The sequence below is a fragment of the Homo sapiens genome, chromosome 6 (assembly GCF_000001405.40).
Source record: "Homo sapiens chromosome 6, GRCh38.p14 Primary Assembly".
Classification (NCBI taxonomy): Eukaryota; Metazoa; Chordata; class Mammalia; order Primates; family Hominidae; genus Homo; species Homo sapiens.
This window is the reverse complement of record NC_000006.12, coordinates 4890719-4918693: the sequence shown is the minus strand read 5'-3', so window position 1 is coordinate 4918693 and position 27975 is coordinate 4890719. Positions and strand designations below refer to the sequence as shown.

Genomic DNA, 27975 nt, shown 5'->3' with positions numbered 1-27975 from the left:
AACTCCATTATTTGAAGAAGTTAATGGAAAACTTTATTCAAGCGCGGTCAATCTTTAATTACAGACGCAAATTCATGCTATTTAGTTTTACTTTTGACAAACTAAAACAAAAACATCAGAAATTACTACGCAATATCAATCCTATCATTCTAACTAAGCATATAGGGATAAATTCCTAAAGCAAATTAAACAAGACAGGTGGTACTTTAAATTTAGTTATTTCCTTTTTAAAGCCTTTGAAAATACATCAAATATTGGAGAGAAAAAAGCAACAACCTTTATGTTATAATGTCACCTCAAAGTGCCAAAAAAAAGGGGGGGGGGCAGAACATCACCCAACCTTTCTTTTCAGTGCAGAGAATAAGGCAGAATTAACAATAACAACAACAATTAAAAAGGACAAATGAAAATACAAAAATAACCATAGCTATCGACATGGTATAATTCTCCAGCAGTGGGATCTTATTATTGATCACATCTTCAAAAACTACATTTCCTGCAGAAATGATTCTACTTTGACATGGGATTGAATGATCAATACTTTTCTTCATGTTTATCCTGACTCTCAGAACCAACTGGCTTTTGCAACTATTGTTTTCATAAGACAACTGATCAATTACAATCTAATTTCTCTATTTCATTAACAGTGTGTGGCCGTTAATTTCAAAACCTAGATATTAAAGGAAGATACTATCTTGGGTAGATACATGAATAGTAGCTACAGGCAAACATCTACTTCAAAGAAAATTAGCTCACAACCTATAGTTATTGCATCCAATGTGTTCTAAGCTAAGACGTTCAAGTGCTAATTTTCCACCCCTAGTTCACCTCACAGAGGGCAGAACTTCAGACACCTCATTTGGAAGTACATCTGTAATTACCCAGAGTAAGGAGGGGTTCAAGGTGTTTGCTGATATTCATCATCATGTCTACTTCAACCTTCTCCCTGCAATGCCAACAGCAACAGCCTAAGAATGAAAACTTGCCATCTATACTTTTAATCCTTCCTCAGTGCTGCCATTTCTATCAATTTCTCAGTATTCTAACAGCAGACTACACCAAAGGACAATTAACTTCTGACTTCTGCCCCCCACTTCATCTGTAAATCGGAGATTAGAGAAACAGTTTAAACTTGAGTAACATTTACATTAATTTTAACTGTGTCTCAACTGCTATCATAATGAGGCTCTATGCTTGGTTACAATGTATTAGTATTAGTATACATTATAGACCTCCCTTAAAACTACAAAGGCAAAGCTACTCAAAGTCTAACAAACCCCAACAAGAAGCTAGCGGCAGAACCACCACACAGAAACAGTCAGTCTTGTGGTTAGCTCCTAAAAGCAAGCCACATACTCAGTTCTGGTGTTTCTAGAGGCCAAAGCAAGGATGGAAACGCCATTAAAACGAAGATTCTAAGACAAAAACAAACCTATGACTTCAAAAGACAATCTGGTACTTCTAAGATCTAAGATAAATTTCTCCATGAGGTTCTTTAAAAGAAAACAAGCCAACACACACATAGACACTCAACCACCCCAAAACCATAAGGAAGGAATAACCATGAAAGCAAACGATTTGATAAGACAGGGCAGGTTACAAACTCAGTAGAATCCACAAAGTACAGAAAAGCAACAGTTTTCCTAGCATTGCCCCTGTATACAGAGCTATTTTTTCCTTCCTAAAGAAAAATCTTACTTGGAACCTCAAAAACAAAACGGATCAAAGCTGAAGTTCTCTGGTGGGCAGGGTGCTCTGGACTCCCCATCAGCCTCAGGGCCCACCTGTCAGAGGTGGAGGTGTGGCAGTGGGCCGTGCACGTGGCCAGGCCTCCATCCGGGGTACCTGCCCAGCATGAGGGGATCACTACACACTACACCTCCTTGGAATTAGGAAGCATCATAAGAAAATGGAAATATGTGATTTTATTTTAGAGAGAAACAGGCTGTTGAGAGAATGGAGAGATGCCTCTGTCCTCACAGGCTCAGCTGCTTGGCTGGAATGAACCACTCAGATAAAGGTGAATGGTCAGCATCACTGAAAGAGGGGGAGGCAGGCCAGGGGACAGAAACTGCCCGCCCCCCCCCGATACATCTGGTCACCCTTCCAGGCGTCATTCTGTTGGCCTTTCAATTAATTTTCAGACCATGAGAACAGGGTCTTCATTTACCTCACAGTGAACTTTTCAAAACCTGTTCTCAGTGGTTGTGACATTCACTCAGTCTTTATTTTTAGTTCTCTTCAGTCGAGAGTTTCTCATCTCATGAGTTCTTTGAGGAAATTATCCACAAGTACATAGATTTTATATAAAGACTATCCTTGAAATTTAAAACATTTGGCATGTAGCGTCATCTCCTAAGAGAAGGCTAGAGGTATGCAGTTTGTAAAAAAGATGGCCACTCCAAACCTGAAGGTTTAAAGCAATCAAGTTAATCATTCTGTAGACTAGAAAGTATCTGAGACAAGTCTCAATCCATTTAGAGGTGTATTTTACCGAGGTTAAGGATCATGGCCCTGACATAGCCTCAGGAAATCCTGAGAACATGTGCCAAGGTGGCTGGGTTACAGTTTGGCTTTAGACATTTTAGGAATACAGAAGTTATGGGCAAAGACATAAATCAATACATGTAAGGTATACATTGGTTTGGCCTAGGAAGGCAGGATGGGGTGGCGGGGTGGGGAGGCTTCCAGGTCATGGGTGGATCCAAAGATTTCCTAACTGGCAATTGGTTGCAAGAGTAAGCCCTATCTGAAGAGGTGAATCCAGAATAAAGAAATGCTTGAGTTTAGATATGGAGGTGTGGAAGCCAAGCTTCTTGCCGTACAGACGAAGTCTCCAGGTAGCAGGCTTCATATATAGGGTGACTGTCTCTTATCAGAGCTGAAAAGGTGTCAGCCTCTCTGGAAAAGACCTGGTAAGGGAAGGAGATTCTCTACAGAATGAAAATTTCCCCCACAAGAGAGCTTTACAGGGGCATTGCAGAATATGTCAAGTTATATTTTGGGATAAAATACTTTGGCTTCCTTCAGGGCACCTATTATCTGTCATGTGATGCTCTACCTGACTCAGGTTGGAAGTTGGTATCTGGTTGCTACAGAGTCTGTTCTGTCAGTATTAGGATTTCTCTTTTAATGTTAATGCTAGTCAGTTGTGTCTAAACTCCAAAGCGGTAAGGGTATAATGAGGTGTGTCTGCCCCCATCCCCCACATTATGGCCTGAACTAGTTATGTAGGTTTCTTTAGGGTCCCCTTGGCCAAGAGGCAGTTCACATTCCAAGCTGCAGGGCTTAGAATGCTATTTTTGGTTTACAATTCTAATGTCAAAACACATAAGTTTATCAAACACCCAAAACAACCCTAATATCAGGGCCAAGCAAAATGTGTTCACTGGCTAGAGAGCAGAGTGGTAAAATGTGTTTTGGAAGATGGTTTGACAACTTGTATCAAAAATATTAAACAAAACAAAACAAATCTTTGACAAATCCGAATCTAGGAATTTATTCATCATCATGGATTTCCACTGGGAGGTGATCGAAAGGATGCTCTTTGCAGTGTGACTAAACAGTGGGGCATCTGCTGTCATTAAAGTAGACTGTGGTTATGCCTAACAACACAGAGTTAAACATGATCTACGAGGTTGGGCCAGCCCCAGCACACAAGACAGAGATGTGTGTTCTCACATGCAAACCACAGGCAGGGCACAGTGAATAAAGGCAAGGATACGTGCCCGACCTCCTAGGCTCAGAAGCCAGCTCTGTCCTGGACTCGTCCACTTGCACCGACTCATCCCTGCCTACTCTCCCAGCTGGAGGACAGTCTACTCTTCACCCTGTTCCCACAACTGTGAACACTGTGGTACCGTGCCGGGCTGTTACTGCTGTACTGAAACACCTCTATGCGTGGGCCATGTGTGGGCCCCGTTCTAAGAAACCATGTCACAACCCACCCCAGTCACAAACCCATTCTGCAAACCCTGTGTTCTATGCAAACCAAAGTCAAATGAAAACCAGCTTAATAGCTCAGAATGAAGAATAGGCCCGTGCACAGCTAAAACGCTGGTTACAGCTGGATAAACTATCAATTACAACTGTTCTTGAACTTGCAGGATGGCTGAGGTTGCAAGGCAGCCACACAGCCTGCAATCTGAGGAAAGATGAGCCGCTGCAAGGAAAGCTGGGGCCATGTGGACTGTCTCAACTGCGGCAGAACACAAGAGACAGATAATAGTAAGAAACTCAGCTGAGCTTCTAAAGACCTGCAAGAGGCTGCGTGTGGACTGGCACGACAGCGTAGCAGTTCGCTAATGAGAAAGTGTGGAGGTGAAGCAGGCTTTCAGGCACAGAGGAGAGGACGTGCCACCCCCATGAGAAAAGCACGGAGCCGTACTCTCCTGCCCTGCCCTCTCTCTGGCCTCTGGGGGAAGGGCAGCAAACCCTGTTGATCTACTAGTGCCAAAGGAAGGAGAGTGTGGAAAAAAAAAAAAAAAAGAACTCTTTCACTCCTTGAGCAGAAGAAAAAAATCATGAAACACTTCACCCCCACAGGTGAGACACACAGGGCCTAAGACCAGAACAACCAAAGATTACCCTGTTCCCACCCTCCACTGCAGCCCCTATCCCAGCCTAGCAAGAACCAAGTAAAAATCAACAATAGTCCACTCCTAGGAGAGGAGAAACCATAGAGAGAGCAGTCAGTCCTCTATGACTCAGGCATACATGGTAATAAATTATGTTTCCCAAGGTGAGAAGGTTAGGAGGAGACAGGTAAGAACTTGGGTGGCCAACAGGCTAGACCCGGGCTCCGCCAACAAGGGCTCCTGGCCAAATCTGGGCTGCTTCCTGTTTTTGTGAATAAAGTTTTGTAAGCCACGTTCATTTGTTTACCTGTTGTCTTTGGCTGCTTTCAGGCTACAATAGTGGAGTTAAGTAGTAGTAGAGACCGTCTGGCCTCAAAGTGTAAAATATCTACTAAATGGCTCTTTAAAGGAAAAGCGTGCTGATCCCTAGACTAGACGGTCCTCTTTTGTCCAGTATAACCCTCCTAGTAAGGAAGTATAGAGAGTTCCCTGGAAGGCCGGAAGAAGGTGGAAGTATTTTAAAGCCAAGGGCTGTTGTTTTTAAATCTAAAATTGTTTGCCAGTCATGCAACCAGGCTTTCTGTTATCTGCTTAAAGATGGAAGTATCAACTTTTCCCCAATCCTATAATCACTTTTCAAACAGTTTTAAAACACTACGAGCCACCATTCTCTATGATTTTAGCTTTGGTGATTCTATTGCCACTGCCACACACTTTTTGCTTTTTAACAGAGGCCCTAAATGTATCAGGGCCTCATGCTGTGGAGAGGAGAGAAGCTCAGATTAGCAAATTACCGATGTAATGCTTTAAAAGATGGCACTTAAAACCACCCCTGAAATAAAAAAATTTTAATTAAATAATAAGGAAGAGTGTTAATAAAATTACCCTCATTCAAGAGATTTTCGTTCCTTGGCTCGAATTTCGAGCACTGGGAAGAAAATTCTGAAGACACAATAAGGTCTCTGCCAAGTTAGCTTTGATCCCAGGGAAACAAACTTTTAAGAGTTTAGTAATGCTGGTCTACATCTGCAAGCCACCAGCATTAACAGCCTGGCCTGGACTCTGAGAAAGGCTCTGATGACTTCTGCTAGTCCACCTCACCGGCAAGTCACTCTCCTCAGAGCAGTCAGCAGCTGCTATGGTTTGAACATTTATCCCTTCCAAGACACATCCTGAAATGTAACCCCCAGTGTGGCAGTATTGAGACGAGGGGCCTTTAAGAGGCAATTGGGTCATGGGGGCTCTGCCCTCATGAATGGGTTATCACGGGAGTGCGACTGGTGGCTTCATAAGAAGAGGGGGAGAGTGAGCTGAGCTGGCACATAAGCAGGCTCTGCCCCCTCGCCATGTGATGCCTGGGAACTCAGCAGAGTCCTCACCAGCAAAGAGGCTCCACCAGAGGGGGCCCCTTGATCCTGGACTCCTCAGCATCTATCACTTCAAGAAAGAAAAATTCCTTTTCTTTGTAAATTACGTAGTTTCAGATATTCTCTCACAAATATCTGAAAATGGACTGAGAAGACAATCAAATGTCAAATGTCAATCAGCACACATCATGTTTCCACTTCAATCCCTTCACCATCTGAAAAAAACCCAAACTTCTTACCCTGGCTACAAAGCCCTACGGCGTTCCGCCCCTGCCAGTCAGCAACTGTAAGTGCGCCTTGCTACCTGCTTTTGATGAACAGGGTGCTACTCCTCTCCCAAGGAGCCACTGCAGGGAACAGTGACCCTCCAGGCCACGTGCAGATGATGATGAGCTGGGGTTGTCTACACAAATGAGAAGCGGCCGTGTTATCCTATTACTCCCAGGAAGAATGGGTCAAATCAGATTCACCAAAACCAACGTCAACATTTTTCCTAATGGTCAGGAAAAAAAAAAATTCCCAACTTGGAAACAGGTGAAAGGACCACGTATCTTTTCAACATCATGCTGGGGCACTGGGAGCCACTCCCACCAGGGATCATCTCGTTCTTTATGGCCATGTACCTTCATTTGACTGTTTAGCGCTGTTTAGAGTATTTTACAGCTCCATATGGATGTCAATTTTAGAAAACTGAGAGTGATATAAATCAATGGCATTGCTTAGAGATTGAAATGACACCTGCTCAGGAGAAAAGACAACAGCAAAGGTTAGTATGGCTGCCCTGCAGGCCGTTAACCGGTTTTGTCTCTTTCTCTGAAACTATCCCAGCGTTGTTTCAGTGCCTACACATGGTCTCCTGCATTTTCTTTGACTCAACTTTACTATCTTTTTGATTCCTTCGCTGAGTTAAATGAATACTTGACATGAATGGATTCTGTATTTGTAAGTCATGTTTTTACTTACTGGAAGGTGAAATTTGAAAGTGGATGTCCTGTAACCCCTAAAGGTTTAAAACTAACCTAGGAAGTTATTTAAAGTTAAATAATTTTGAAAATTATAGATTCTTTTCTAATATTTTATTTAAAGCTAAGGGGCGGGGGTTAGAAACACCATGCTCTATGACATGAACTCTGAGGCTTTTAGCTATCCCTAGAACCAATACCAAAAGTGGTTTGTGCCTCTGGCTACAAACCAAGGACCCCCTTTAGCAAACAGTACCATGAATACTGTATCAATTGTGAAGAAAGTGGTGCGGACACATTTTGTTCACTAAACCAGGAAAAACTTTCCTAATGACCTAGGGCAAAACTGTTTTTCAAGTCTCATTACCGTGCACAGTTATACTTCTACGGAGCAACTACTGTGCGCATGTATGTGTGAGAGCACTGTGGATCTGACTCATCAGCACACTCTTATCACATGCCACCAGACAGCTGAAAGCCAAATCTGCAGCCCACCTGCAGTCACCAATGCCACGGCATGCATACCCTGGACTGGACTAACCATAACCCTGGCTTTAATATGTTTTCATTTCAGTTTGTCATGACATCTTCGCTTGGATTTAAAAACAGAACACTATATCCCTGTATTTCCAAACTGTCAACTGCCTTAAAAATCCTTTTTCGGCTGGGCGCAGTGGCTCACGCCTGTAATCCCAGCACTTTGGGAGGCCAAGGCGGGTGGATCACGAGGTCAAGAGATCGAGACCACGGTGAAACCCCGTCTCTACTAAAAAATACAAAAAAAAGATTAGCCGGGCGTGGTGGCAGGCGCCTGTAGTCCCAGCTACTCGGGAGGCTGAGGCAGGAGAATGGCGTGAACCTGGGAGGTGGAGCTTGCAGTGAGCCGAGGTCGTGCCACTGCACTCCAGCCTGGGCGACAGAGAGAGACTCCGTCTTGGGGAAAAAAAAAAAAAAATCCTTTCTCAGGTAAGGTCTAGAGGTGTATAAACCATCAGAAACACTCCACTACCCACTTCATGCCTTCTATCCAAACCATCGCTTCCAACACTGCTGCTTTATAAAAACCCGACTAATCCTTCCAGGCCCACGGAGACACCTTTTCCCTCTTCATAGTTTCTGCAGACCTCAACCAGACATGCTCGCTCCTTGAGCCTTTGAACACAGTCTCTTAAGTTGCTCAGCTGAGAGCACTTACCTGTTGCCTTATGTTATAACCTTTTGTGCAACTGGCTTCTCCCCAGCCCAGCAAGCACTGGCTTTCAGAGGACAAATCAGTCACATGGTCCCATGGGGGTCACCCAGTGAACCTCATGACATGGCACATAGTATGCAGTGTGCTTAATAAATTGGACAGAAGGAAAAGAGCAGAAAGTATGAAGGGAGTTAAAGGCAGAGTACTCATTCATTTATGTGTGCCTCTTCTGGCCATAAAACCACAGACAAGAACTTAATCTGGCAACAAGACAAAGACACAAAAATCAGAGTCACTGTTTAACAAACCTGAGCAAGTGAGCACTGCCTGGTGTTGTTCCAGGTGCTAATGCCGTGAGACTGAGTAAATAAACATATGTGCTGCCTAACTTCCCGCAGCTTAGCTTAGGTAAAGAAACCAACACATTAAGCATGCAACTAGAACTGTGGCTGAGCGCTATGTTTTAGATGGAGGGGGAAAATCGGGGAGTCTTCTCCCAGGAAGTGCCGTCTGTGCTGAGGCCAGAAGGATAAGAGGTCAACCAGATTAAAAAAAAAAAAGGTATGTGTGTATATGTATATATATGAATACATGTGCAAAACAGGAGGAAAGAAATTGGCCAATTCCAGAAAGTGGAGGGAGCCTAGCATATTGGAAGCCCAGTAAGCAATGAAAGGCCAGCCCCAAAGGGTCCTGTAGGCCACAGTAAGAAGTATGAAATTTGGCCAGGTGCGGTGGCTCATGCCTGTAATCCCAGCACTTTGGGAGGCCGAGAAGGCAGATCACAAGATCAGGAGATCGAGATCATCCTGGCTAACACGGTGAAACCCCATCTCTACTAAAAATAAAAAAAAAAAAATAGCCAGGCGTGGTGGTGGGAGCCTGTAGTCCCAGCTAAATCGGGAGGCTGAGGCAGGAGAATGGCATGAAGACGGGAGGCGGAGCTTGTAGCAAGCTGAGATGGTGCTACTGCACTCCAGCTTGGGCAACAGAGGGAGACTCCGTCTCAAAAACAAACAAAAAAAAGTATGAATTTTATCTCAAGTACACCAGAAAGCGAAGACACACCCTTAAGCAGGGCAGTAATATATGACTTACATCTATAAAAAATCCTCCTGGTGTGTGAGAAATGGATTGGAAAAAGGCAATAAAGACTGATGTCAATTGCTTGGACAAGGTGGTGGCAATGGTGAGCAGCAGAGCTGATAATAAGGATGCAGGAAAGGGGAGGGCATGGCTTTCGGCTGGAGCTACTGAATAGCTGGAGGTAGCACTTACGGACGCCGGAAAGCCTGGACACAGCAGCCCTTCCCTGATTCCTCACATGGAGGGAGTCAGTAATTACCCTAGTGTTTACAATAAGTTTAATACAGGGCTTAGTAATGACATGATAAATGTATCTTCTCTCCAACACACTTGCTTCTCCTTTCTTTCTGGATGAGTTCCTTTAAAAGACTGCCCTCATTCTCACAGAGCAACAAAACCAAAGGCGTCAGGTGAAATACAGAGAACACCATCTTATGACCTGGGGCCCCCCAAGGCACGGTGTGTCTATGACTGTGACCACTTGCTCATGCATATTTTGTACACTCCTGTACACGAACATGGAAACTTTTAAATCCCACGTCTAGTCTAAGCATAGAACCTTTTGTGGCTTAACCAGGTAAGCAGAACGCAGCGAAGAACGGAGCCTCTCAACAGACAGGCAGAATGTGACCATGCACAGGAGAGGTGACCTCCAGTGAGGAAGTGCCACGGTATGGATGAAGGGGCACAGCATTTCCACCTGGGGATGTGAGAAGCTGCAGGGCAGAGGATGCATAGCAGGTCAGGAGGTCAAAGGACTGCCTGTGGGCTACTGGTTCTCCTGGATCAGAATTTAAAGTTCCATTTCTGCAGGATGGAGGGGAGAAAATGGGGAAAGAGAGACGTAAGCTCAGAGGTGACGTATGATCTTGTAAGTACTATTTAAAAGTAGAAGCATTTATGCTTAAAAAACAGACCCTGGAAGCTTGGAGAGCCAAGGATATAGGTTGCCTGTGGGGGGCAGGAGGAGAGGGTTCTGAGGAGGTATTTTCAATAAGTAGCTAGCTTAATCTGCAAAGCTAAAGGCTGAGCAAACTACAGTGAAATTAGATACTTCCTTAAGCAAATTTCTAAAACAAACCTCCAGCTTCAGCCCAGATCAGTGTTTCTCAAACTAGGGCCCAAGGACATACCACCTATCCATCTATGAAACACCAATGCCTAAATCCTGTGCTCGCACCCTCTGATCATCTACACGGCCTGGATGGCCTGCCCGGTTCCGGACCCTTTCCCATCAGGTTAACCAGGTGCTGCCAAGGATCACCCATAGCTATGGTTCTGAATGGCTCCCAGGACAATCACTGAGGGACCACACCCATCTCTGCAAGGGAATGCCTGGGTACTTACAAAGCTGCCAGGAGAAACAAGAACTTGTCATGCAGTGTTCCTCTAACTAGGGTGCTAGAATTTTCCATGTGTTTGGCATTTCAGGGGTCCACACCAAGTACATTGAGGAATGACAGCCCATGAGCCCCCTGACAGCAAGGAGGGGCTTTTATGTGTCTCTTTCCTTATGGGCACCAAGTGGGGTGGTAGAGAACACGGAGCTCAAGGGGGGCCAAACTGTGGAACTGATGGTTCTGTCTAACAGAGACGTTTAGGACATGCTGAAGAGCAAAGGATCAAGGGAGAGCATCTAACTGAACACACCATGTTCTAGAGGAGGGCAAAAGCTACTCAAAATCCAAGACAGGAAGCTGACCTCACCATAACAGCAACCTAAAAGCCACAATGTGCTAAGTTTTATAAATACAGTAACAAAAACTATATAGTAATTTTGAAATCCGGTTTTGCGATCAGTTTTGAGCATCCGAGAATACTTAAAAACCGTATTAGAGGCTGGACATGGTGGCTCATGCCTATTACAGGCACTTTGGGAGGCTGATGCTGGAAGATTGCTTGAGCTCAGGAGTTCAAGACTAGCCTGGGCAAAACCCCATCTTTTGTAGAGATGGTGAAACCCCATCCCTACAAAAAATACAAAAATTAGTGAGGCGTGGTGGTGCACGCCTGCAGTCCCGGCTACTTGGAAAGCTGAGGTGGATCACCTGAGCCTGGGAGGGGGAGACGGCAGTGAGCTGAGATGGCACCAGCCACTGTACTCCAGCCTGGATGAGACGGAGCCGGACCCTGTCTCAGAAAAAAAGAAAACACACAAAAACCCACAAAAAAGCTGTATTAGAGCAAAACTCTGACAGTCAGCTTTTCTTCCAATCCTTCCATAACTCATGGAAATGCAGGCTAAAACTGCAGCAGGGTGGTCTGTTTTCCCCCCATCTCCCCTTTCTGTAGGAGGACAACCTGGTAACCCACTGGCCCTACAGTGATCCAGCTCTTGGGGTGCACCCCTGACTCACTTGAGCTCAGAGTAGCAGCAGTTTCTAATGTTACACAGTAATGTGCAACTCTGAAGATTGTGGCGAGGTGCCACCCCAGGCTGTCACAGCGTTACACAGACTCTATAATCAAGAAAACCCAGTGTGGAACTGCTTATTACATGCACATGAGAAAACCCCTTGTGAAAACTGGGAAATGCACACATTAGACTGCACAATATACATTCCTAAATGGCAAATTTCTGTAAACAGTGATTAATAGAACACAATACATTTAGTTTAGACCACTCACTGAGAACATATTAACAGAAAAAATGGCACGTGGAAGACTTTGCAAGTAGAAATTTTACTAGGGCAACCTCCTTCTCCCCCAGATAAAACGAAACCAAACCAAAACTCAGACTGAGTCTATTTTTACACCACTCTTCCTCTTGGTTTGCTGTTATAAAGCTGTGACAATTTTGATAGCTGCCATAGTTTTAGAATTTTTGTCCCATCAGATAAGGTTTATCTGAAAAACCAAAGCACAGAAGTTAAACTTATGCTTACTTTCCCTTTGAAGTCCATAATAAAAGAGTGGTTCAAATCACGGAAATCAGAAGCAACCGATACACTCTGTACGCAATGTCATGCCTTCCAAGGCTGGTCTGGGCTGTGTGGTCCTGTTCTTTTTCTCCTGTGGCCTTCACGCTTGTACTGTCATGAAGCAGGTACAGAGGCAGCCGCACTCCCAGAGAAGGGTCAGAAGCTGGCAATCCAGCAATTAAACAGTGTGATCTTCCGCACTCACCTAGCTGATAATGCTCACGTTATGCTCTCATGGTATTCCTATACAATTCTTATGTTACTTCACCTTTAGAGGTAATGCCAAGCATGGGAAACAGCTACCAAACTTTGCTGAAAGTGTCATGCAAGAAAATGCTACAATTACAATGTGAACATGGAATACATAATTTAAAACTACATTAGCAAGATGAAAAATAATCTCCATCCGGTTTTCCATTCAATAAAAGTCATATCATCCGCCCATGGGAGAGGCAGACTTTCTCTTACCAGATAAAATGTACAACCCTCTCACCATTAGCAGTGTAGTAATTAAAGCTGTAGACACTCCTCCTTAGAGACCACGTCATCTTACCATTTGATTTTACAATTTTACTAGGAGGAAGTTACTTCTTTCAAGGCTTAAATCACTGTAGAAACAATTCCCACAATTACTGTTGACAGTAGAAAGGTCCTATGTAAGAAATTACTCAATTGGTGAAATGTATGTTTATGTGGGTGAGGGATCCCCTAAAAGCCCTGACTTGATCCCTATGCAATCTATGCATGTTACAAATGTGCACTTGTACCCCATACATTTAAACAAATGAAAAATAAATAAAATAAAAAGGGGAACAAATAAAACTAAAAAAAATGAAAAAGAAGAGGTCCTACAAAAATGGAGGCAAAGACTTGACATAAGAGGCGTGCAGCATGCAGAAAGCCAGTGCTGGGGGCGAGTGGCTCCCAGCCACTAAACATGGCCCTTCGGCTCTGACCCAGGCAGTCAACGGCTTCACTGGTGTAATTCTCAAACATGAATTTTATGACTGATTTCCCCTTTCACTACTTCAAACTCAGCAGTTCATCCTCTCCCACCGACTGCTTCTAAATATCCCCCCACTGCCCCTGCGGAATTAAGCATGCCACTTCAGAAAAGACGCTGAAATGTGGCCTGCCTTTGTCACAGAATACATTTCTCACAATCAGCTGAGCAGCTGAGGAGACAGTTCAGGTCTGTCTCGTGGGAGGAGAGGCAGGCACCCACAGGCACATCGTGTCCGAAGGCTCAGGTCAACCCCGCTAAGTTGGTTGACGGAGTGTCAAAGACCAATGAACACAGTCCTTTAGACCAACGAGAATTCCTGAGTGGGTTTAACATTCCTATTCAGGCTGGAGAGGGTTGAAGAGAACAGCAAGCCATGCGCAAACTCACTTGTGTCAGCATCCTAGTCACGTAAACCCAGGTTCAGTAAGACGGACACACGGTCACTGTGACAGCCAGGTTACTACTGGGCTGGCTTTGTTTATCCAACGTGGACTTCTCTGACTTCAGCAGTTCAGATCACGCTAGGGGTAGAGCACTGGGCCGTCTGGGGCAGTGGTCGCCATCCTAATGCTGTCTCTGAGATCAGCAGCTCACATAGGGACGGCCGATCACACAGGCACTGCGGAGGTGTTCTTGTGATTAAACACCTCCATTTCAGTGCATGGACTCTGTGATAATTATTTCTCAGCTGGAGGTCGGGGTGGGGATGAGGGGGACACAGTGCACAGCTGTAGTCTAAGTGGCTAACACGGGTCCTAAGTACAACCTGTAGCTGTACGATGAGGCCCAAAGCCGTTTACAGCTTTTCTCCTGGCAACACGCTCCCTCTCCTTACTGCACAGACATAAATAAGAACTTAAACTGCAGACAGAAATGAGAGATGACTATGACTGAGGTAACTGGGCTGAAAGTATATTTGAGAACCTAGTGTGTTCCCATTAAAAAAAGTTCTTTTTAAGCACAAACAAGTCTTAAATAATAAAGTAGGGAGGACAGACCAGATGTTATCATAAATAAACCTGATTGTGAAATGTTATCTTCCCAAAAGCCAGGGCAGGGAGGGGCGCAGTGAATGGAAGAATTGAGCATCAAATCCACTTGCTCGGAAGAGCAAATACATCGTCCAGAAAATAACCTGCAGTAACAAACACTTTGGAGATAAGCTTTAAAATGTTTTCTTAATATTTCCTATTAAGGATGCCTTGGCAGATGCCATTTATGATCCTAGACTGAGAGCCAATTACATCAGGTCCATATCACTGGAGGAGATGGGTATTCACTATATCGGGGTAATTACTTTTTAAAAAGAGACAGTTTATCTCATTCATTCGGTGTCATCACTCCACGAGAAGCAGGGCTGTACAAGGATCAGTTTAGTATAATCTTCTTAACAATAGTCTGGCATCTGCCCTTGCCTTAGGGAGCACTACCCACAACGGCAGGGCTGAACTTTCAACACTGCGAGGGGCCCGGCCTCTGGTCTGCAGACAGCGTGGCATGGCTCTGTCAACCACAATGCTTTTCAAACAGACCCTATCATCAGAAACGAGGGCTCTTTCTTGAATATCCATTCTGCCAGGCTCTGAGCTCCTGGAAGTCAGGGGCTCTGCAATGCCAAGCTCCAGTCACACCTGCCTGCCATGTGGTACATGGCAACGTGCCTATGAAGAGGCATGGAGCTTCCAGAAACTCTCCCAGGCAGACGGCTGATGGGTGTATGGCATGGGACATAGAGTGAATCCGAAACTAAAAGCAAGCTTTAAAAAGATGCCTCAAAACCTGAGGAAAATGTGTTTCAGGAACTCAGAAGCCACGGAAGATACTCAGGAGCCAGCAACTGTGTGGACACCAAGTAACATGAATCAAGTAAAGCAGACTCCAGCTGCAGGGGCCGAGCACACAAAGCGGGAGAGGGGAGGTGAGCCTGGGGCTCCACTGGGGCCAGAGACTGCTGGTGAGAAAGGACACAGAAGCTGTCTCCTCCCTCCGGCACCCAAGCCCTGGCAAGCCACCGTGTGCATCGTGTGGGTTCTTTTATTATTTCACTTGTTGTTGAAGTTCAATGAACCCTTTAAGTAGATTTTGCTCAGATAAAACAATATAATTTTCAATAAAATGCTAATTATCAAAAGACATTTAAGATGAACCATCACGGAAGAAAATGCTTTCATCCACTCCACAGTTTAGTGGCCGCCTACCATGTGGCAGGTAGTAGAAAAACTAGGACGAAATGTCTTGGTTCTTACTCTCAAGAAGTTCCCTTGAGCACTGGGATGCAGCTGTGAAGAGGAATATATTGACTTCACTTAAAAGGACATGTGCACGTACAGCAGGGACATGGCGCAGGAGCACAGGCCTGCTGACTCGTCTGATTTGGAGGACGTCCCCTAAGTGCTTAGGGCGGCAGGAGTGTAGGAGTGCCTCTTGGTGCCTTGGTAATTTGTCCCGACTACCCTAACAAACCATTCCTTTTACTCTTCTTTTTAAAAGACAAACACTAATAACGGAAGCAGAAGGGATAAAAATTCCTCCAACAACTCACTCATGTACACGCAAATGTTAATGAAGCCCCTAATGTGTGTAAACAATTGGACTAGGCAATGTAGGAGATTCTAAAGACCACTGAAATATCTGCACAACACTTCCATTTTACCATTTAAAGTTTAAGTGAATTTGTCCATCTACTCTGGATCTTTCCCTGGATATTTTAAAAACATCCGATTTTATTTTTTCAGACTGTTCTAGGGAATCGGCTCCCATCCATCCAATCTAAGTACTCAAGCCACGTTAGTTAAACCTTCTGCACCCAAGGCAAAAGAGCCTTGGAGAATTGGACTCCCTGGCACCTTCTCCAAGGGGATCCTCATAAACAGTCCATTTGTGTAATTAATGTGACTGATGTGTAAAAGGTGAGATATCAAATTAAAAAGGAGATAAATGCAGTGCCTAGCTCCCAAAGATAGGACTAGAAAAGGAGGAAGAACACCTATTCAAAAAGAGGAAGTACAGAGCTGGGCACAGCTCAGTCTCCTGGTGAGCAGCATCTTGGGCACAGCTGCATTGGGAGGATGACTGTGTACTGTTTCAGAGGGCCACCCAAACGCTGGAACATGACATTAATTCAAAGTATGATTGTCCAGGCTTGCTCAGTACCTACTGTCTTTTTTTTTTTTTTTTTGAGATGGAGCTTCACTCGTTGCCCAGACTGGAGTGCAATGGTGCGATCTTGGCTCACTGCAACCTCTGCCTCCCGGGTTCAAGCGATTCTCCTGCCTTGGCCTCCCGAGTAGCTGGGTTTACAGGCATGCGCCACCACGCCCGGCTAATTTTGTATTTTTTTTTTTTTAGTAGAGACAGGGTTTTTCCATGTTGGTTAGGCCGGTCTCGAACTCCAGACTTCAGTTGATCCACTCACCTTGGCCTCCCAAAGTGTTGGGATTACAGGTGTGAGCCACTGCACCCGGCCTCTATTGCCATTTCTATTGTTACTAGCCCTGGCTTTCCCCTGGGGTATCCTCTCATCCCCTTCCTTCTAGGTTACAGAGTTTAGATGAAGTTGACCTCACCCCTTGAAACGTAGGAGGAAGAGAAGCCCCTTTTCTGTCTGGTCAGCTGAGAGGTCAGGGTGGCAGCCCAGAGCTGCGGGGGCACCTTGCTTCCATGCGGGAAGGATGGCCTGACTGAAAAAGTGGAGGCTGGGGGTGGGGTGGGGTATGAGAATGATGGTAACTTCAGGCCACAGATCCAGCTGTGCCTGGATTTCAGTTTCATGAGCCAACAGATGCCATTTCATTTGCTTGTATGTTTAAGCCACTGTGGGTTCAGTTTCACTCACTTGACACAGAAGCGAAAGTCTTGAGTAATACTGTGTACTTAATAAAATCAATTACGCTTATAAAAAATTCACTTATCAGTGTGACACAGTACAAAGAACTAAATGGAAGTCAGGAGTAGGTTCTAACGTAGAGTCTAGTTTCCCACCAATTCTGCTAGTGATTTGATCAAATCACTCTCTTTCACAAGCGGCCTCTTCTGTAAAACAAGGATTCTCTGAAAGAGGAAGATGAATGTTGGAGGAACTTAAGACAGAACAAAGGCACCAGAATAGCATGCTCGGAAGAGGCTAGAGAGCCTGTACCCTGTGTATATATAGCTGCTCCCAACCTTAAGGTACAGCATGCCACTGGAGGAATATTCCAGAAGGCCAGTACCTGACTGCAGCAAAAACAATGCTAACGGGAATAGAGGAGACAAGGAGGATTTGTAACAGGGCTTAATTCCTAGTAGCACATGCAGCGACAAGAGCAAATTTAATCTGAAAATGTGATTTCCCCCCCTTTGTCCTTGTATCAGTTAAAGTTCAAAAGGAGCAAGAACTATAGTTAGAAATATTCCTTTTATGTCATCTGACCTAAGAAATCTAAATTTCTTTTAAATTGTACTTCATATAAGCCCAAAGTAATGAAATATACTTTGGTATATTCAAAACTGAGCAGGAACCATAAAATTAATGCACATTAATTGGAAGTTTTCTAGTCCCTTAAGGCAGGGCCTAGATAGTCCTACCTCACCCCTGAGTGGGGTGGGGAGGACCCTGAATCATGGACCTCTTTTTAGGCACTCTCTTTACAAGCATGCACGCCACAGCTCAAACATGCAGAGAAGATCAGTGTAGTCCCTGGGCAAAGACAGGTACATTCACGAAATGTTCACATTTTGGAAGTTAAACCACCCAAAAGAAAAACAGGCAAGATATATATATATATATATATATATATATATATATATATATATATATATATACACACGTATACGGAATTAACAGAAGAATGAATGCAAACAGTCAATTAACTTGCAAAAACAGTTTTCCTGTTTTAAAATTAAAACAATGAGATAGCAATTTCTCATCTGCCAGACACTGAAAAATAGATTAAAATGTTGGTTAAGAATAGGTAAATATGTACTCACAATCTTTTCAGCTTTTTTAGAGAGCAATTTGGCAACATCTATTAAAATTTTAAATCAATTACAGGCCTTGTGTTTTATCGTTTACAATAGCAAGTTGCCGACTAACTCTCAAATAGTGTAAAATGTATCCTCGAATAGGAAAAAAATGTATATGCATATGTGTATGTGTGTATAAACATATATGGGGGAGAAAGAGGAGAGGGAAAGTAAATGAGGCAAAATGTAAACAATTGGTGAATCTGGGTAAGGGATACTATATGGGTATTTCTTGTACTGGTCTTGCAACTTGTAAGTTTGAAATCATATTTATATAAAGTTTAAAACATAAAAAGAAATAATTTGAGTCTTAAAATAGAGAGTTCTCCAAGACATGATGTTAAATAAAAAGAGCAAATGCTAAGAACAAATTACGTAGTATGATCTCATATAAAAGAATATAAATTCATAGAAAAAGATAGAAATGACACACATCAAACTACTGATGTTCTCTCTGGGGAATTTGGTATTCAGAGGGGGAGGTAACAGTGAACTCATATTTTGCTCAAAGTACTTCTAAATTACTTGTGCAAAAATGTATGACATTTACACATTCTGTTTACAACAGGATGTGTGTTAACATTTCTGGAGCTGTGACATCAATAAACTTCATTTGCAGGGAAAAAACTCTCAAAGTCTGCAGCAGGGACTCTCAGAATAAGAAGGAAAACACTCCTTGAGAAACCTTGGTTCCCTATCCAGAGTGAGATGGTCACGGGACTCCACACAGCTCACACGTGACTCTTCCCCTCGGGATATGGCTGCTGAAGAGCTGGCAGGGTTCGTTCCCTAAACTTCTGACGGGAATCAGAATATGCAATTCTAAAATATGCCACTTTTGAATACGGATTATTTTTAGCTAAAGGCAACTGAGAAGCAACAGATGCAGAAAGAACTCTCTATTGCTGCCTGAAAGGGCTTAAATTCCTGTCTGTAAAGGTATTCCCACTTTCCCGTACCAGGAAAAGGAAAACAATTCATTACCAGAGAGATGAAACTGGGCCGAGACGGCATCAACAGACCTTACTAAACAGCCTTTGTCTTCCATTTGTTTCCCCGTATATCCACCTCCCCACATTTTACCACCCCCAAGAAGCCTAGAAACCCCACTTTCTTTTGTCTAGGAACTTCTCCGCAATTTATCATCCTTTGTTAAAATGGTATATGAGCCCTCAAACCTAACCACTTCTTTGGGGTTTCCTCTTTTGTGTGGAGACCTCTTGGGAACATAAAATTTAAAACACCAATTAAATGTATATGTCCTTTTCTCCTGTTAATATGTCTTTCACCACTGTAATTCACAGGCCCCAGCCACAAACCTAAGAGGATAGAGGGAACGCTCTCCTTCCTCTTACACTTTTTTGGCTAGCTGAACTTGTTATATTTAATTCATTTTTACATACAACAGGGGATGATTACAAAAGGGGAGCTGATGTTTCAAAGAAAACTACATTGAATGATTTGGAAAGGCTCTAGACTAAAAACTGTTGTCAAAACCAGGTGTGAGAAAATGAGAAAAATCAAAAAGGCTAGGGCTGTACTCAGATTTCTAAGTACACCTAAGTTTTGCTCTACTTTGAAGAAATCCAAAGTGGTAACAGTAAGTGATACATTACGAGCATGCTTTACACAAGAGAGGGCTCCAAGCAATGAATCCATGTTCAAAAGTCCTTGGCTCTTCCAAGTGGCAAACGCAAGCACTCCCTTGGAAAGGGCCTTGGTTCGACATCAATCATTGGAAAATAATGCAGATTTATTAAGTTTTAAAATAAAATCATTATGGTGTGCATGTTTTTAAAGATTCCTGGGAGTAAGCAGACTGGCTCCAGCTGGACAAGAGCATCTTCTCTACGGGCTCTATGCCTGAAACTCTGCACTAGAATCCTTAAGCACACGCAGGTTTGCGGACCACTATGCTCACTCTGAGGAACTGAGGAACCCACCTGCTGCTGGGCATCACATCATTCTGCCTGAGGATACCTATTAAATGCTTAGAAAGGAGGGAGGCTGTGCATCTACATGTCTCAAAGGACTACTCCCCTCTCGTTTGATTTCTAGCTTCTGGACCCTTTCCTTGTGTAAGTGGGTTTGCTCTTGAAAAGAATAAGCAAGATAACACATGTGGAAGCCTCTAGCATGGACCCACTATACAGGACATGTCAATCATTTGTGGGGTTTCAAACTGAAATCTTTCTTGATCAAACCCTCAAACACACTTCTAATTGCCTGTTTGCTGTAACTTGACTTCAAATGTCTTCTCTTTTCAAGTGGAGGTTTCCTGCTGTGGCCCCAGGGAATAGCTGCTACCTCTGGGCGCTGGTCTGGGCACTGCTGCCTTTTCGTTTTTTTTTCTTTTTGAGACAGGGTCTTGCTCTGTGGAATAGGCTGGAGTGTAGTGGTGCAACCATAGCTCACTGTAGCCTTGATTTACTGGGCTCAAGCAATCCTCCCACCTCAGCCTCTTAAGTAGCTGGGACTACAGGGGGCATGTAGTCACCATGCCTGGATTTTTTTTTTGGTGGAGACGCAGTCTTGCTCAATTGCCCAGGCTGGAGTGCAGTGGCGTGATCTCGGCTCACAGCAACCTCTTGCCTCCTGGGTTCACGCCTTTCTCCTGCCTCAGCCTCCCGAGTAGCTGGGACTACAGGCACCTGCCACCACGCCTGGCTAATTTTTTTTGTATTTTTAGTAGAGACAGGGTTTCACTGTTAGCCAGGATGGTCTTGATCTCCTGACCTCATGATCCGCCCGCCTTGGCCTCATGCCTGGATAATTTAAAAAAAAAAAACAAAAACCTTCAAAACCTAGGAAAATAGTTATTTTTATGAAGATGGGGTCCTTACTATGTTGCCCAGGCTGGTCTCAAACTCCTGGCCTCAAGCTATCCTCCAGCTTCAGCTTCCCAAAGCGCTGGGATTACAAGTGTGAGCCACCACACCTGGCCTGGTCTCCTGATTTGTTAATCTTCCCTGGGGTTAAGTTCTAATTTCTGAGACTAAATCATAAAAGGCCCTAGAAAGCCCTGGGGCTTCTTCCTAGAGGGCAGCTGTGCCTCTTATACTTCCCTGATAATCACAGAGGAAAGGGAGATGGATCATCTACTCATATTCTTACTGAGAGGAAATCACACTCCAGCTCCTCAGAAGCAGCCAGGTTTTCCTCAACACTTTCTCTTAGGAGTTTCCTTTGGTTGAAATGCTCATGAAATGCAAGGTGTGCTAAGGTATTAATATTTCCTCAGTCATTTTCCTACTAGGTCTGTTGGCTTCAATATGAAATCCAAAAGCCAACCCTATGTCACAACACTGATAAGGTTTACACCTATTTGTTTTAAGTTTGCTAATAGCATTTTCTGAAATTTCATACTTACGGAATGATGATGAATTATATGTTTGAATCCATGAAAGGACAAAGTTACGATAATCCAGTTTTTAAAAGCAATTACTTCTTTTGTAGGATTAATTCATTAGGGAATTAAAAGAGCAAGAAATTACCATTAAACATTGATAGAGAGAAAGAAGACAGCTAGCTGCATCACCTAAATTTTAGAATTTCTCACATTTCTGAGTGAAATAATATATTCATTTAAGCCTTTGCGTCATACTTAAAATAATTAAAAAGCAAACACATATATGGTTATTCTATAAAAGTGAGTGTGTGTGAAAATACTCCAGAAACATTCATTCTTTGGGTTCACAGATATTCAAATATCTGTGGTTTTTGGTGGCAAAAATATTCCTTCAGTATATGATTAATGTTTTGAATGATGGTTCGTTTCCCAATGACTCCACCAGTATCTACTTCAATTAGTTTTAGAAAAACAAATCAGTTTCTTTACGTAGCTCTAAAATTAGTCTAGAAAGTAAAAACAAACAATGGCTTAAAAAGTGTCTGAGTGTGGACCAACAGCCTAACAGAGCTTCAGCGCGGCTTCTCCTCATTCAGGAAGCATGTGCCAGAGGGCGAACGAGGGCTTTCTGGAATGTCTGTGTTTCTGGCCATATATGTTGTTATTTCAATAGCATTTCTCCCCTCCTGCTCTCCTTCCCTCCTCTCTGAGCAAAAGACCCAGGCCACAAATGACTCCTTACAACAACCCTTGTCTTCCATGCGCACCCATTCTACTGGAATCACTCCATCCACAAGTACTTGCAGAGCACCGACTACACGGCAGGCACCATTCTGGGCACAGTTCGATTTAGTCTGGAAAAACAAAATGCTTTCTTGGAGCTTACGATCTAGCAGAGTATAACAAAGCTCTTCTCTGCACAGGTACCAGGGCAGCGACAGAACTGACCCTCCCAAATCCACAGGAGGCCTGCTGTCAGGGGCTCCACCAGCTTTGCAGTTGCTTTTCTTCCAGAAAGACTTCCTCCTCGTTAATCTGCAAGCCTGATTTAGATCAAGGCCGCAGGGGATGTCATTCACCACTGTCCTAAAAATGCTCCCTAACAGCTTCTATTTTCCTCTAACTAGTGATTATATTCTCAGCAGTATACAGGGGTCAGGGCTGATCTGACCAGCGCCCAGGCAGAAGTGAGAGAGGGGTAGAGATCATAGCTTTGGAGAAAAATGATGGTGAGGGCCTTGGAAAAATACTGTCATTCCCAACCCAACCTCCCAACTCCGCACAACAAGGTAAAATAATTTAAGATTCTATGCTTACACATCCCTTTTGGTTTAACCAATGCCACATGTGTGGATGGATGTTTTTTAGAAAGGAAGTCACTAAATCCTCATTTAAATGGAAGCTATTATTATCTTCCTTATATAAGAAATATAAAGGAATGAAGGTTCTTGTTGCGAATTGTTTCACATGTGGTGAAAGCGCAATGTGGATCTGGCGAGGGCTGCAGTTCATTTTGAAAGAACTAACACACGAGAGGGAACCAGCAAGATCGCATTGGAGGTGGTCTCCAACCAAAACTGGACGTGCGGGTTAAGGACTAGAGCTCTTAACCTTGTTGGCTCGAAGTTTTGAAAATCAAGGGTTCTCAAAACAAAAAATGTGTGTATATATATACACACACACATATACACATATATGTATACATGTATATATACATATATACGTATATATGTATACATGTATATATACATATATACGTATATATGTATACATGTATATATGCATATATACGTATACATGTATACATGCATATATACGTATACATGTATACATGCATATATGCACATATATACATACATGCATATATGCACATATATACATACATGCATATATGCACATATATACATACATGCATATATGCACATATATACATACATGCATATATGCACATATATACATACATGTATACATGCACATATATACACATCTGTACATATATGTATCTATACACATATGTACATATATACTCATGTATACATATATACACATATATACATACACATATGTACATGTATGTGTATAGATACATATACACACATGCACATATATATGCATATAGATACATATACACACATGTACATATATGTGCATATAGATACATATATACCCATATGTACATGTGTATATAGATACATATATACACATACATACATATATGTATAAACATACACACAAGTATACACATATGCATACACATATACACATACGTATATATACACATGCATACACATATACACACATACATATGTGTATATATACACACGTACGTGTGTATATATACACACACATACACATGTGTGTATATACACATATACACACACACACACACACACACGACTTTTGTGGACAAAAAAGGGGGCTCACAGATCTATGGCCTCCTAAGAGCAGAGATCAGGTATCCTCTCTGTAAAGAGCCAAGTAGGTCAGATGCAGTGGCTCACGCCTGTAATCCAGCATTTTGGGAGGCCAAGGCAGGTGGATCACTTGAGGTCAGGAGTTTGAGACCAGCCTGGCCAACGTGGTGAAACCCTGTCTCTACTAAAAATACAAAAATTAGCCGGGATTGGTGGTGGAAGTAAATGAATGGATAGCTCCATTCATTCATAGTAATGGATGGTTAGCTGTGTTCCAAGAAAACTTTATGTGTGAACACAGAAATCTTAATTTCTTATATTTTCACGTTAGTAAATATTCCTCCCGATTTTTTTCTTTTTCCAAAATCAGGAAATGTAAAATCCATTCTGAGCTTGCAGGTCATACAAAACCAGGAGCAGGGCAGGGCCAAGCCCACGGACTATAGCTCATCAGTCCTTTTTGGTAGCACTACAGTCCAGCACCGTGCCTGGCCCCCAAGTCATCAATGAAGACGGAGGTGCTTATCTGTCCAGGAGGCAACAAGCAATGCTGGGAAGAACGCCAGGGAGGCACTAAGGCACGCGCTCTGGTTCCCCTTCTGGCTTCGGTTCTCTCCATGAACATCATCTTCTCTCTGGACTCGACTTCCCTAACTGCAAAATAGAGCGTGCTATTAAGTGAGTCCCTTCTACCTCTGAACTTCTCTGATCCCTCACATACAACTAAGTAAGAGAAAACTGTATCCATGAGGTCAAACAATATAGGAAGTCAAACCTGCAAACAAGTTCACAAGCTCCAATGAAGCCGGAAAAGGCACCGTTTGGGTCAAGTGTGTATCTGAAAAACATTGGCAAGATGGCAATTTCCTGTCAAAGGGAGACCCCAGATTTCAGTTCATATTCCACTTTTTTGCTACACAAGGGCCTGGGCCGAGGAGAAAACCTGTTGAATGCACCAAAGCAGGACGGTTAGAATGTCTTAGTGAACACTTCGCTTTAGAGGAAAGTAGCTCCCCAAACAAACCAACACCATTGTATTTTGTTTGCTATTATTCTACTGAGCTTGGGTTGGAGGAGACACACACAGGTAAAGAGACGGAGTCTCTTTTTTTTTTTTTTTTGGGAGACGGAGTCTCACTCTGTCACCCTGGCTGGAGTGCAATGGCACCATCTCGGCTCACTGCAACCTCTGCTTCCTGGGTTCAAGCGATTCTTGTGCCTCACCCTCCTGAGCAGCCGGGATTACAGGTGCGCGCCACCGCGCCTGGCTAATTTTTGTATTTTTAGTAGAGACGGGGTTTCACCATGTTGGCCAGGCTGGTCTCGAACTCCTGACCTCAAGCGATCTGCCCTCCTCGGCCTCCCAAAGTGTTGAGACTACAGGCATGAGCCACCACGCCCGGCTAAAGAGACAATTTTAAGACTACAACTCAGAAGGGAGAGAGAGGAGAGGGCCAGGTGGTGGGGGCCCCTGAGCAGATGGAGAGGAAGGGACCACGTGCGGCCCTGGTGCTGACAGAGAGAGCGAGCCAGAGGGCAGCGGAGCGCCAGGTCGCAGACACACAGGGCACACCTGCTACTGAAGGCAATGGGGTGGGGGCACCAGTGGACACCACCCTCGTCCAAGAATGACTGAAAAGGGATGGGAGCTGTCAGAAGGCAGGAAGCAGGAAGCCCTATTAGAAAGCTCCAGCAGGTGAGAAGTCATGAGGCCTCGTAAGAGAAAACTGTGGCCGGCACAGTGTGGCAAGTGAGGAGAAGGAAGCCACCCATGTGAACTCCCAGTTGTGCTGTCCTGGGAGATGGACAGGTCATGGCACAACCAAGGCAGCTGCAGAACCCAGGAGCGGGGCTGGGGATGAGAGTAAAACAGAGGACACCACCGGTGCCAGGCAGACTGGGCTCTGACGGGGGAAGCAATGGCACCTGCACTGCCGATCACAACAGAGAAACGAGCCCGGCTCCCAAAGGCTCTGCTGGGTTAGCAACGCTCCCACTGAAAGGCATTCCTGGGTATTCACACAGATGAGCAAAATAAGAACCTGCACTTCTGTATCAATGCTGGCCACACTTAGAAGAAAACGCTTAACACGAGACAAGACTCAGCACTTCAGAGGTGAAGAAAGGTAGACAGCTTCAGAAACTTGCTGTAAAAACTTATCACCTAATAACCTAGTTAGAGGGAGATACTGTTTAAAGCAAGTCAGTGTGGTAGCACAGTCTGTGGATGGCGAATTACACAGAAAAAACTAGTTGCCGAATTAAGAGAAATATCAAAGGCTTCCAGCGAAGAAAGGAGAAGGCGAAATCTCTGCAAGGCTCCAGCAGATGCCGTGAGAAGCCCCGGACTCTGCCCAGCTCAAGGCCTGATCTCTAGAGAAGGACCCGAGCCCTCTGGGATCACCACGGAGCCTGAGCAGCTCCCTAGACACTCACCTTTCCCGTTAACAGCTAAGCCTGTGGCCATGGCTGCAGTCACAGGGCCGGGCACCTGAGGCACTAGTGGGTGTATCCTGGGCCTGCTCCCCATCCTGGCCCTCTCGGCACCGGGGCCCAATAAAGCTCCGACCGGCTTTTCCGCTGCCACTTCGGGTGCCACTGTGTCCTCCTGACCCTGCTCGACGGGGTCCAGTTTCTCAGGGCTCTCGCTCTGAAAGCCGTCCACTGCGGTCCTGCTCTTAACGGGGCTTTTAGGCACGAGGATCTTGATACCTGACTTCGCTAGGTCCATGTTCTTCCGGCTGGAGAGAGATGGAGCTGTGTTCTTCCTGAACTTCTGGCTGGCAGCAAACAGCTGGCTGTTTTTGGATTCGTGGTCTTTCCCAATCACGAGTGCCTTAGGAGAGGTCTTAGAAAAGTTGCTGTTGGTGGATCTGGAGATTTGTTTCCTAGCATTGTTGGGAGAGGTCCTGTTTGTTCTGGTCAATGTGCTCTCCTTCTGCTTCTCCGTGTGGCGTCTGTTGAAGTCGTGGATGTATTCCTCACAGTTCACGAGGTGCTGTTCCGGCTCCCAAGTGTCGTCCTCGCTGTCATAGCCTTTCCACCGAACCAAATACTCTGTCTTCCCTTTTTTATTTTTCCTTTTGTCAACAATCCTTTCAACCTGTTCATAAAAGGAAAAAAATAGTTTTAAAAAAATCAAAATTTGGGGGGAAAAGTGCAAGTTTCATTAGGAAACATCAAAAATAGCAAAAACCACAATAGATGATAAAATGATCTCTTCTGCAACCTCAATAAAATAGTAATAGGCCATTTGGGTTGTGGACAATTTCCCTGAAAGTAAGTCAAACAAGATGCTAAATTTTTATGCTGAGAACGTGTGGATATGCATTAGGTGACTTATGTTTCTTGTGACTGAAAGGGGCTCTCTGCTATTTCTGTGTTGAAGCCTGACCACCGAGTTGGTTTCCACACTCATGGCTGGAGCAGCTCGAGGCATCTGCAGCTGTGCCTGGTCATCCCAGGGTTCCAGCAGCGGGCACCCAGGCAACAGCCTGGAGTGGTGACAGCAATGAGCTACAAGGCGCTGAGAACCTTCTGTGGTGTGAAACTGCCATCAAAGAAACATATGATCTGTATCACAAGTATCATTCAGAAGCACTCAATTAAAACTAAAAAGGTCAACAGAGAACATCATACTTGATTGTAATAAAACAGTCTAGAGCGATCAGGTTATTTTCAAATCTTGGTTTTAATTAATTTTACACTAACATCTTTCAATGGAGATGCTGTTAATCATTGAAATGGATGACCAATACATTTTGGATCAAATTTATCAATTCACACAACCCTGCCTTGTAAGCACGTTTTATCACCGTGACAAATTCTACTACCTTAACATCTGAAGCGTAAATGGAAGAGAGATCTTCCGCTACTCACATGAACGAGAGTTATGTGACACAGTGCCTCCATACGTTACTGAAGAAATACCTAGAATCTGTTATTACATCTGCAGTTACTATAAAAGCATCAGCTTGCATCCTGGGGGCAGCATGTGACTCTGTATCTTGTGGGCAGAGGCCTACAGCCACGGAGTGGCTCTTTAATTAAGAACGCAAAGGTCTGCACCTATCAATTATTAAGAACGTCAGTACATT

The 27975-nt window shown here is 43.9% G+C and overlaps 1 protein-coding gene and 1 long non-coding RNA gene across 9 annotated transcripts in view, besides 3 other annotated features; both read right to left on the bottom strand.

Annotated features, from left to right (window-relative positions):
• The window catches only part of CDYL (chromodomain Y like), a 249407-nt gene that overhangs the window by 36851 nt on the left and 184581 nt on the right, over window positions 1-27975 (bottom strand). For 7 of the 8 annotated variants that reach the window (NM_001368125.1, NM_004824.4, NM_001368126.1 and 4 more), the window contains one exon: window positions 26315-26981. The exons of the other annotated variant lie outside the window; for it this stretch is intronic. In NM_001368125.1, the coding sequence (NP_001355054.1) occupies window positions 26315-26981 (667 nt within the window). The remainder of the gene's footprint in view (window positions 1-26314; window positions 26982-27975) is intronic. 8 annotated transcript variants of the gene reach the window in all.
• LOC105374897 (uncharacterized) lies at window positions 11-26308 on the bottom strand. Its single transcript, XR_926412.3, has 2 exons — window positions 12070-26308; window positions 11-9991 (listed from the first exon to the last, which is right to left on the bottom strand). It is a non-coding gene; the product is annotated as an uncharacterized LOC105374897 (long non-coding RNA).
• Window positions 11535-11584: a silencer, noted in NCBI's record as "silent region_16863". NCBI's record gives its function as "represses an Ori minimal core promoter by ATAC-STARR-seq in GM12878 lymphoblastoid cells {active_cell/tissue: GM12878}" and the evidence as "EXISTENCE:reporter gene assay evidence [ECO:0000049][PMID:35858748]".
• Window positions 11955-12014: an enhancer, noted in NCBI's record as "active region_23898". NCBI's record gives its function as "activates an Ori minimal core promoter by ATAC-STARR-seq in GM12878 lymphoblastoid cells {active_cell/tissue: GM12878}" and the evidence as "EXISTENCE:reporter gene assay evidence [ECO:0000049][PMID:35858748]".
• Window positions 15064-15564: an enhancer, noted in NCBI's record as "H3K4me1 hESC enhancer chr6:4903364-4903864 (GRCh37/hg19 assembly coordinates)". NCBI's record gives its function as "activates a minimal SCP1, AML or CMV promoter by ChIP-STARR-seq in naive H9 embryonic stem cells {active_cell/tissue: H9 hESC(naive)}" and the evidence as "EXISTENCE:reporter gene assay evidence [ECO:0000049][PMID:30033119]".